The 10659-nt window shown below is 42.2% G+C and overlaps 1 annotated feature.

Annotated features, from left to right (window-relative positions):
• Window positions 3409–3918: an enhancer, noted in NCBI's record as "NANOG hESC enhancer chr13:110364549-110365058 (GRCh37/hg19 assembly coordinates)". NCBI's record gives its function as "activates a minimal SCP1, AML or CMV promoter by ChIP-STARR-seq in naive H9 embryonic stem cells {active_cell/tissue: H9 hESC(naive)}" and the evidence as "EXISTENCE:reporter gene assay evidence [ECO:0000049][PMID:30033119]".

The following is a 10659-nucleotide window of genomic DNA, read 5'->3' as shown; positions in this document are numbered from 1 at the left end:
CAAGTGTTGCTTCAGAATGAGCCTGGCTCCTGCCATGTGGGTCAGGGCTGACAGCAGGGATTTCACATGTGACAGATGACTAAGGGTTTATGTGGACATGGAAGATTTGAGGCTCCTTTCTGCCCCCATCCTCTCACTGAGGCAATTGAAGATCTTTTTCTCCTAGCAGACCTAGAAATTGTTTGCCAGTGGGGGCAGAATGAGGGAGGGGCTTTGAAACTCAGTTGCTACAAGTTAGCGTGTACGTTTAGATGAACTCATGTTAACAATATACTTTTCCAGTGGATCCATTCCAGATTAAACTGTGGTCTTTGAGTTTCTCAACTTCCTTTTTCTTATTGTTTGATATTTATTGCTTTTTAAAAAGATTTGCTAATCTTACACGCAAAACTTTCAGACAAAGACTTCAGGGAATAATCTTTCATACAAAGATTTCAGGCAATAAATTTCTAGTGTTTATACAGCTAGCGAATAGAACTTCTTCCTAAAATTGTTTGAAGCCCAAAATCTAATGGCAAGAGATTGGCTCTCATTTTTGGTAGCCTTGATTGAAGCCGATTGATTGAATTGCTGTTCCTGTCAATCTTGTGACATTCTTACACTAATGAGGTAAAATAAATGCTGAGTCCTGAGGTCACACCAGTCCTCGCTGCACATGTCCTTCACCTGACTTGATATTTTGAAATTTTTATCCATAATGAGAAGTTGAGATCTATCGCCCCTTTTTGTGTGTGTGAAAATATGGCTGGTTTTACTCATTGGTCTGTCCTTGTAAACAATTACACTTTCTCAACAATTGAGATTCCAAACTGTGAGCCGACCCTTGCTTCCACAGAGAGAGGAGATGGTAGAGAGGCAGGAAGCCATGGAGTCCTGTGGGATAACGGCCCCCAGAGGACAAGGCGACGTTAAATGATGGCATGCATGGTACCCATCCAATAAGTTCTATTCTAGTTTTCCCCATCGATGGGCTTGACTATGACCAGGGAATCATACAGCTTTGGAACAGAAAAGAATCATCTAGTTGTGGTCAAATGTCACACTTTTTGGGAGAAAAACCTAGAGGTGAGGGAGACACAGTGACTTGTTCAAGGTCACATAACTAGTAAATGTCAACGCTGGGATGATAAACCGAGTCTTTTGGGCATGAGTTCAGTATTTTTCAACAGAATTCACATACTGCTATTTCACAAATTAGACCCAGTTTACTAATTGTTGCCTTATGCTAGATCTTGAGAGGCAACAGCTGTGTTTGTCCTTATCCTTTGACACCCAGAGCCTAGCACGGTACCTGGGGCACAAGAGAAACTCAAATGTGTTTGCCAAATTAAAGCACTAAGGAATAAGCACATTTCCTCTTAATGATCACTTTCAAAATAAATCTACTATTCATTTAGGAATACTAATAGCTTTGACCCTTCACTTGCTCACGATTATGGTTGCCTAAGGTTAAAAATAAGGTAAGGTAATGAATGTAAATTCATCTCTGTCTGGCTCTTTGTTATTGGTGATAGTGAAAAGTTTCATGGCAAAAGAAGATACAAATCAATGAAAAAAATGGAGTGGGGAGATACCTTCTGTCTGTGCTGCGTGTGTTCCCCATGATCATAAATGGAGAAGTGGAGGCAATATTAACGAAATGTGCACTTACAAAGCCTGTGCTCAGCAACTTTTGATAATATTTAAGTCCATTAGGGCCTACCCATACAGTCATAGATCCGAAGAGGTCGATTAAACTTTGAAGAGCTTGTTTAGCTTTGTTGCCTCCAGGAAGTCCGTAGGAAAAAGTATCAGAAAAGCATAAAACAAAAAAAAGTTAAAAAAAAATTATTTCTTCTATGTGGTGTGGTTCCAAGAAAGGACTATAACAGGCTTCTGCCCTAAATTGATCAGTGTAAGCTGACATTTGAAGATAAAGCATAAATACTCTAAGACTGTAACATACTATACCCAGAGTAGTAAGAACAATTAAAAATAGGCTCCTGGGGAAAAAAAAGATTCCTAAAACTGAAGAGAAATTCTCTTTTTCTATTATATAAGCTATATACCAATGTCCCTCAACTTATGATACAGTTACATCTGGTATGGTTTGGGTCTGTCTCTCTGCCAAAATCTTATTGCAATCCCCACTGTTGGAAGAGGGGCCTGGTGGGAGGCTATTGGATCATGGGGGTGGATCTTCCCCTTGCTGTTCTTGTGACAGTGAGTTCTGGTTGTTGAAAAGTGTGTGGCACCTCCCGCTTCACTCTCTTCCTCCTGCTCCAGCCATGTGCCTGCTTCCCCTTCGCCCGCACATGATTGAAAGTTTCCTGAGGCCTCCTGAGCCGTGCTTCCTGGAGAGCCTGTGGAACTGTGAGTCAATTAAACCTCTTTTGTTTATAAATTATCCAGTCTCAGGTATTTCTTTATAGCAGTATGAGAATGGACTAATACACATTCCTATAAACCCATTGTAAACTAAAAATGTAAGTCGAAAATGCATTGAATACACCTACCAAACGTCATAGCTTAGCCTAGCCTACCGTAAACGTGTTCGGAATACTTAACATTAGCCTACAGTTGGGCAAAACCACCTCACACAAAGCCTGTTTTATAATAATGAGTTGAATATCTCATATAATTGACTGAACAGCCTCTTGAAAATGAAACACGGAATGGTTATTTCAGCTCTGGAAATACAGTTTCCACTGGATGTGTGTTGCTTTTGTGCCATTGTTAAGTCAAAAAATCCTAAGGCAGGGCACATCTGGGTTTTTTTTTTTTTTTTTTTTTTTGAGAAGGAGCTTCACACCATCGCCCAGGCTGGAGTGCAGTGGCGCCATCTCAGCTCACTGCAACCTCCGCTTCCCGGGTTCAAGAGATTCTCCTGCCTCAGCCTCCTGAGTAGCTGGGACTACAGGTGCCCGCCACCATGCCCGACTAATTTTTGTATGTGTTAGCTAGAGATTGTAGCTGTGTGAGTGTGGTTTATTTCATACGGAACAGAAATGTTTCTTTTAGTAGAGACAGGGTTTCACCATGTTGGCCAGGCTGGTCTCGAACTCCCGACCTTGTGATCTGCCCTTCTCGGCCTCCCAAAGTATTGAGATTACAGGCGTGAGCCACCGTGCCTGGCCCATCTGGGGTTTTTTGTAGTGTATCTTAGTTGCAATCTAGAAGAATCTGATGAGTTTTCACTGTGTAGGCTTATTAAGACTTGCTATATTTTTACTGTGTCCTTTACCTTCTTAAAATGCATTTATAATTTAAAAAGTCTGATCTCATGTATATAAACAATCCTCAGAAATAATTTGAATATGTTCTAAGTAAAGTTAATAATTTTCAATTATACAAAGGCCAATAGTGGGTTTATTTTGTTTGTATTCCATGCAGACTTAAGTTGCTTGCAAGATAATCTGGGAAATTGTAGGCTTTTTGGTGGTGTTATAGAATCCAGAATTTGGGAGTCTCCACTGTAGACCAAATGCTCTGGAGTACGTGAAATTTGTCTATCAGCAAATCAACAGACTAGTTAACCTTTCTCCAGGCAGTGTCTCCCCTCCAGCCCTCAGGCATTTTGCCTAAATCCCATTTCTTTTTCTCTGCCGGCTGTCTGCTAATCCCTCGGAAAGTGTTAGCTGATAACTTAAGGTGTGACCACTCTCAGGAGTATTGCATTTCAAAAGAGGCCTCCAAGATAGAAAATACTTCACTTAAAGGAGCTAGACAAGGAAGGAAGGTTGTTATTTTTTAACCTGCTTGTAAGTTGAGTTCCAGGCCATTTAACTCAGTCTTTAGCGAGATCCTCTGTGAGCTTCCCCACTGCATGAATTTCCCTCCAATTCTGAGAGCCAGTGACTCTGGACGGCACTTCCTCACTTGAAAGCATCACATCACAATCATTTCGGCCTAAAACTTATTACTCATCTGTGTTAGCTAGAGATTGTAGCTGCGTAAATGTGGCTTATTTCATCCAGAACAGAAACATTAAAACGATTCGACTCCTGCAGGACATCTTAATAGTGTGTGAAAGGAAGAATTCATATTTCCAGAACTCTGTACCTGTTACAGCTCAGGCGGTCTATGCTTTCATAAACATAGTGACATATTTTATGCATTGATCTTAAAACCCTATTACAAATTCTATTCCATATTTTCTTAGACATTTGGACACACTTAAAGCTGAAGCAACCATGTGTCAGGGTTCGCTCATTAAGGTTTTCTGCTCAAATCTGTATGAACAATGTATAGATGACATATACCTATATATGTAAATATGTATATAGATTATGCCAGTATCTTCCATTTATTCTCATATAATTAGAGTTATAACAACAATGATTTATATGTTCAAAAGCAAACATTTATTGAGTTTATTCTGTGGTCAGCGGATACTAGACATTAGATGTGCAGATAGAAATGTATATAGTTCAGGGCCCGGTGCAGTGGCTCATGCCTGTAAGCCCAGCACTTCGGGAGGCCGAGGCAGGCAGATCACGATGTCAGGAGATCAAGACCATCCTGGACAACGTGGTGAAACCCAGTCTCTACTGAAAATACAAAAATTAGCTGGTGTGGTGGCGCTCGCCTGTAATCCCAGCTACTTGGGAGGCTGAGGCAGGAGAATCGCTTGAACCCGGGAGGCAGAAGTTGCAGAGAGCCAAGATTGCGCCACTGCACTCCAGCCTGGGCGACAGAATGAGACTTCATCTCCAAAAAAGAAAAAAAAAAAATAACAGAGCTTTAGGTTATGAGGGGTTTTGTCTCCTCATCCCATTTCAGTTTTTCTGAAAAAGTGAAGACACTTAACTATGCTCACAATTTCAGGAAATATGCTCAGTTTTCAGTTTCTTCAGCTCTTACAGTTACAACTATCTAATCTTTATTTGGGTTGGTCAAAGACTGCAGCCAACAATCTGAGAATATGCTTCCTAAAGTGGCTTTGTCTTGTATATTTAATTGAGGAAGGTATATTTTATATTCACACATGCACATGTGACTTCTATCTTCAGATATCAATGGTCAAACTTAGGAAGTGCAGCAGAGGTGAAGGAGTAGTCAGCTTTCTTCCCACTTGCTCTTGCAAATTGGTTGTGATCTGTACCCATGGGTAAACATCTATTTTGGCACACATACAAAAATAAAATCAGAATCTAGAGTTGGTAAAATTTGATGAATGATTCCTAGTAATTTAGTTTTCACTTACAACTCTAGAAATTTTTTAAATCTTTTCTGCATAACAATATTGTTTTTTAAGTTTTGGGTATAAAAAAATGACATTCTCCCTGAAACAAGCAGGCAGCTCTCCATTCAGCAGAAAGTTATGCAATAAGATATAAGGGATTGCAGAGACGTTCTCCATCCTCCTCTCTCTCTCTCCCTTCTAAGGGGAAAACCTCCTAAGTTACCTTGGGCAGGTGCCTACATTTGGTACTCCTGGACAGCTCAGCCATCTGCCAAGAAACAATTCTATATAGATGCCTGACCTGCTCAGTTCAGAAGGAGTTTTCTTCTGACTGCTGCTAAATAAGCCGACTGAATGATACATTTATTTGTTAATGGATACTCTTTTTTGGCTCTCAATTTAAAAACATTTTTTAATGGGCAATTGAAAAATATACAGATGAAGAGGCCATGGTCTAATGAGAAGCCATGGAGTCATCACCCAGCTTCAGCAGCTATAAACTCAGGATCAGTCTTGTTTCACCTAGAGCTACAGTAGAGAAACAAAGTGTTTGGAAAACTGGAGAATCAACAATCTTGGTGAGCAGTGTGTGTGTGTGTGTGTGTGTGTGTGTGTGTGTGTGTGAGAGAGAGAAATCTGTAGGTTTGGGGCTTTATTGTTTTTCCTAATATGTAATATAGCTTGTGCATCCATATAATATTATTATTGGAAGTATGGCTCCAAAAAATTTTAGGCCTATATTTTAATTTTAAACTTAATGACTAAATGTGTATATTTTCAAGATATCAGATATCCACATGTAAACAAAAAATACGGTCAACTTTCTGGAAGTTCATATCTCTAGATAGCTATCTCTGTGTGGATAAAACATCTAGTTTATGTTTAACAATGAATGAAGAATGGGCTCTGGTCATAGCTGAACAGGGAACCTGGGGTTTGGCCACTTCAGGGTGACCTCAGGCAAGTCATTAAATCAGTTACTTGGGTTTATACTTTCCTGTTTCTTTCATTTATTTATTAAACATATATTGAGTGGATTACTTTCTACCAGGCACTGCAGAGAACAAAACAAATAAATCGCCTTTCTAGATATAAAGTGGCTCCAGTCCAGAGGGGATGAGAGTAGAGGCTGGATATTCTGTCCCTAACCTTTTTGGCACCAGGGACTGGTTTCATGGAAGACAACTGTTCCACAGACCACTGGGGGTGGGGAGATGGTTTTGGGATGATTCAAGTGCGTGCTTTATTTTTATTATTATTATATCGTAATATATAATGACATAATTATACAAGTCACCGTAATGTAGAATCAGTGGGAGCCCTGAGCTTGTTTTCCTGCAACTAGACAGTCCCATCTGGGGATGATGGGAGACAGTGACAGATCATCAGGCATTAGATTCTCATAAGGAGTGCACAACCTAGATCCCTCGCATGCACAGGTCACAATAGTGTTTGTGCTCCAATGTTCCTGAATCTAATGCAAGTGCTGATCTGACAGGAGGCGGAGCTTAGGTGGTAATGCTCCCCGTGGCTTGTGGCTCATCTTCTGCGGTGCAGCCAGTTCCTAACAGGCCATGGACCTGGTACCAGTCCATGCCCTGGAGCTCGCGGACCCCTGCTCTAAAGCTACTTCCGGCGCTGGTAGTATGTTTTTAATTATTTCTTTTATGTTAATTTTATTTTCCAAATAATTCCCTATTCTCCAATAATTACAGGATAAAACCTTTAGTCTAATATTTGAGATTTACCACACTGTTGTTCAAATCTGCCTTCCCAACTTACAATTCTACTTCTCCCCTGCTAAAATTATTCTCTCTAGTTACAATGAGTTGTGGACAGGAAGTTTGCTTCATTCATCTTTGTATCCACAATACCTAACATAATATCTGACCCAGTGTAGATGCTCAATAAATGATTAATGAGTAGTAGATAAATGGAAGCCTCAGTCTATCTCCTTTCTTGTCTTATAATATTATACCTTGAGTATGTGGAAAAAAGTACTGAAAATCTTTGATTCTTTCAAGGTGCCCAGGGTATGATTTATCTAGAGGATCTTGAATTAATAGCTAGATTTCATTTCCAATTTATGAAACAGATTTCAGGGTCTTTCAGGAACTAATAATTTTTGAAAATTACTTACTCAGCTTCCAAAGGTTTTATCAGTCATGATAAAGGTATACTATGATACTTGCTGATTACATACAATTTCAAGTATTTAGATGTTTGGAAATACGTGGATGTTATTAGTACTATGTACATAAAATTTGTTTTTGAATGTCCTTACAATCTTGATAGTTCTTTAGAAGAAAATTTAAAATGATTTTACTAACTCTGCTTCATCTAACATAAAATCCTGAAAACCTCAAATGATAGTACTCCTTGTGCCTAGAGCTGCTGGAAAGCACCTCTGAAGCACTGTCATGGAGTTTGTGTTTTTCGAACCTTATAATGAACAGCGAAGTGGGAAGTTTCCAGGCTTAGGTGTTCTTTCACGAGGAGGAAGTTGGGTTTAACACCCGTCTTAGTAGTGCTGTACAGAGAGCAATAAACAAGCCATAATGTGGTTTATTTGGGTTAACCTATTAGCCATGTAACCTAAAAGCTTGAACCACATGGAAAATAGACATGATGAGGTGAGAAGCAAATATGACAACCAAGAAAAGACAGGGATTGTGACAGCCGCAGTGATGGACGGCGGGCCTTGAAACACAGTGAGGTGGCCCGAAGCTGGCCCCGCTGGGCCTCAGGCTCCCGGCCCAGCCTCTTGGGGCTTTTGTTTCCTCTTCCATGAAGCAGAGGATTGTGCCGATTGCTCTGCGCCTTCATATGTGTGAAGCTCCCATGTCAGTGCCTGGCACATGGCTGGTGGGATATGTTTTCTTTTATTACTGTACAAATGAATTTGATAACAGGCTGGTTACTCAGAGCCAGCTTTGTGACACCTTACTTGTCTGTATATTTTGCTCTTTGTTCAGTTCATTCATTCATCCATAGATAAACATTTTAAATAACTATTCAATTGCATATCATGAATATTTATTATCTGCTCTGTAACAGCAGTGTGTGAGGTGCTACATCTTTTATGTAAGATCTGGAGAGTGACTCTCCCCACCTGGGCTCCGTAGGTTATGGGAGGGTCAGGCACAGCACTCCCACCAAGCTATCTGCTGGGGCATGAGCTGGGGTAACCTCGAGGAGAGGCCCCTGCTCTAAAGTACACACCTACCATGTGGCTGTCATTCTGCTCACAGTCGCCCCTCCCTGCTGGCCTGGGAGTTTGCTGCTCACCTGCTGTGACAGTCACCAAGCTGGCCATGCTCCCTGGGAAACAGGGAAGGGAGGAGACACTCCCATCCTGTCCTCACTGCCTCCAGCCTAGAGAAGGGCTCTGAAGACGACGGGGCTCTGAGGATGTGATCCCACGTGTCCTCGTCCTGAGCAGATGTTCTATTCGTGTCCAACTGCAGCCTCCCTTCCCATGACACACAGACGTACACAGATATCCTGAAATCAGCATTGCCTTTGTATCCCAACATGGAGATCCTTGCCTGCAATAATGTCTCGCTTTTTTCTTCAATCACTGGAACCTGACTTTTCTTCTGAACCACGCTATGTGTCCATGAACTTCTCAAGAGGTTCTCCACCTTCCTCTGCAACGGCTCAGCTCCACTCCCAGGCCTCTCTTGAGAATTTCCGCACCAGCTGCAGCGTGCCCCCCTCCTCTCTGTGAATTTCTCCTGTGACAAGATGCCTATCGCTTTGCTTTGCATCAGGTTGCATCATATGATGTCAGAAAAGCTGAAAGAAAACAAAGTGCTGTCCCTGGGGAGTGGGGCACTCACAACACAGAAAGGAGCCTTGGGGAGGGGCCGCGCTTGGGTTTCACCTGCAGAACACCCACTTCTGGCTTCAAGTAACCATTCTTTAGTCCCACATTCTATATTGCCATTTGTTTTTCATGAGCATTAAAAACGCATTCTTAGTTCTTAGGTGTTTTCTGGGACTCAGAGTTCATTCTGCTGTTTCATTCAAGGTTCAGTACACTTCTTGATTTTATGTCCATTGTATTCCAAGGATAGATGATTAAAATATCATCAACAATCTAGGGCACTTTGTGAAAACCTTCACCCCAGAACTCTTATCCACTGATGACTCTCCTGGTCTGCTAAAAACTCACTTATTGTGAAAGACTTTCCTGGGATCAAATGTTTTGAAATAAAAATTTATATGTAAAGAAACATTGTTTTGTTTAAAACAGAGGTAACAGTATGACTTGAATTTTATTCGTTTCTTAATCATGATTTTTTTTTCTAATGATGACCTTTGATTAAATTGTATAAAAGGACCTTGAAATTGAATTGACACATCTTCTCCGGTGAGACCTTGGTCCAGCTGCTAAGGTAGGATTTCTGACAGTGCCGGCTGTCCAGTGGAACTGGCTGACACCTTTTCTCAGAGGACAAGGCACAGCTGTGAGGTTCTTTGGAGGAACTGTGCGCCTGCCCCATTGCCAGTGTGGGGCCCGGTCCACAGGAAGGCGCCCCTAATGTGCTCAGCGTGTGTGAAGATCAGAAGCACACAGATGCAAACATGGGTTAGTAAGTCACACACCGTAACTGACTCGAACTCACAGCTCTAAAACAAGAGTAAAGAAGATGAAATTCATCCAGTTTTGTCACCACCTGTGCATTTCCACCAGAGAGGAAACCAGGCAGTTGTGAAATCGAAGGGGCTGGGCTGCCCACTCCTGGCCCACAGGCCCCCCTACCCTGAGGGAGGTCCTCAAGGCAAAGGACAGGAAGCGGTGGGGTTGGGAGCTCTGTCTGATGCTCTGTTCTCCCAAAATAATGTAGACTTTTCCACTGGATTTGAGGACGTGTTCTCAAGTGCATTTCAGGCTTGGGACAACTGGAGGCAGTGTTGGTGGACAGCTAAGGAGGGTGCAGGAGAATCACTCAGTGGAGGACCCTCATTTTGCTTGCTTTGGCTCTGAGCATGTCTGGGAGAATTTTTTTTTTTTTTTTTGAGATGGAGTCTCACTCTGTCACCCAGGCTGGAGTGCAGTGGCACGATCTCAGCTCACTGTAACCTCCAACTCCCGGGTTCAACTGATTCTCCTGCCTCCTGAGTAGCTGGGATTACAGGCGTGCGCCACCACACCTAGCTAATTTTTGGATTTTTAGTAGAGACGGGGTTTCACCATGTTGGCTAGGACGGTCGCAATCTCATGACCTCGTGACCCGCCCGCCTCAGCCTCCCCAAGTGCTGGGATTACAGGTGTAAGCCACCGTGCCAGGCCTTCTGGGAGAATTAAATTCCACAGTTGAGGGTGGGGCCGCTTGGAAGAAGGTGGGGTAACGCAGGAAGGGAGCCGGGATTCGGTCCTTGGGCAGAGCTGGCACCTGGGGCTCACAACCCTTGCCTCCTTCAGCCTGTGGATCATGAGTGCGTCAGCTGAAAGGGGCATGAAACCAACCCTAGCAGGCATCAGATTT

Source organism: Homo sapiens, chromosome 13, assembly GCF_000001405.40.
Source record: "Homo sapiens chromosome 13, GRCh38.p14 Primary Assembly".
Taxonomy (NCBI): Eukaryota; Metazoa; Chordata; class Mammalia; order Primates; family Hominidae; genus Homo; species Homo sapiens.
Note: the sequence above shows the minus strand (reverse complement) of the source record. Positions and strands in the feature narration are given on the sequence as shown.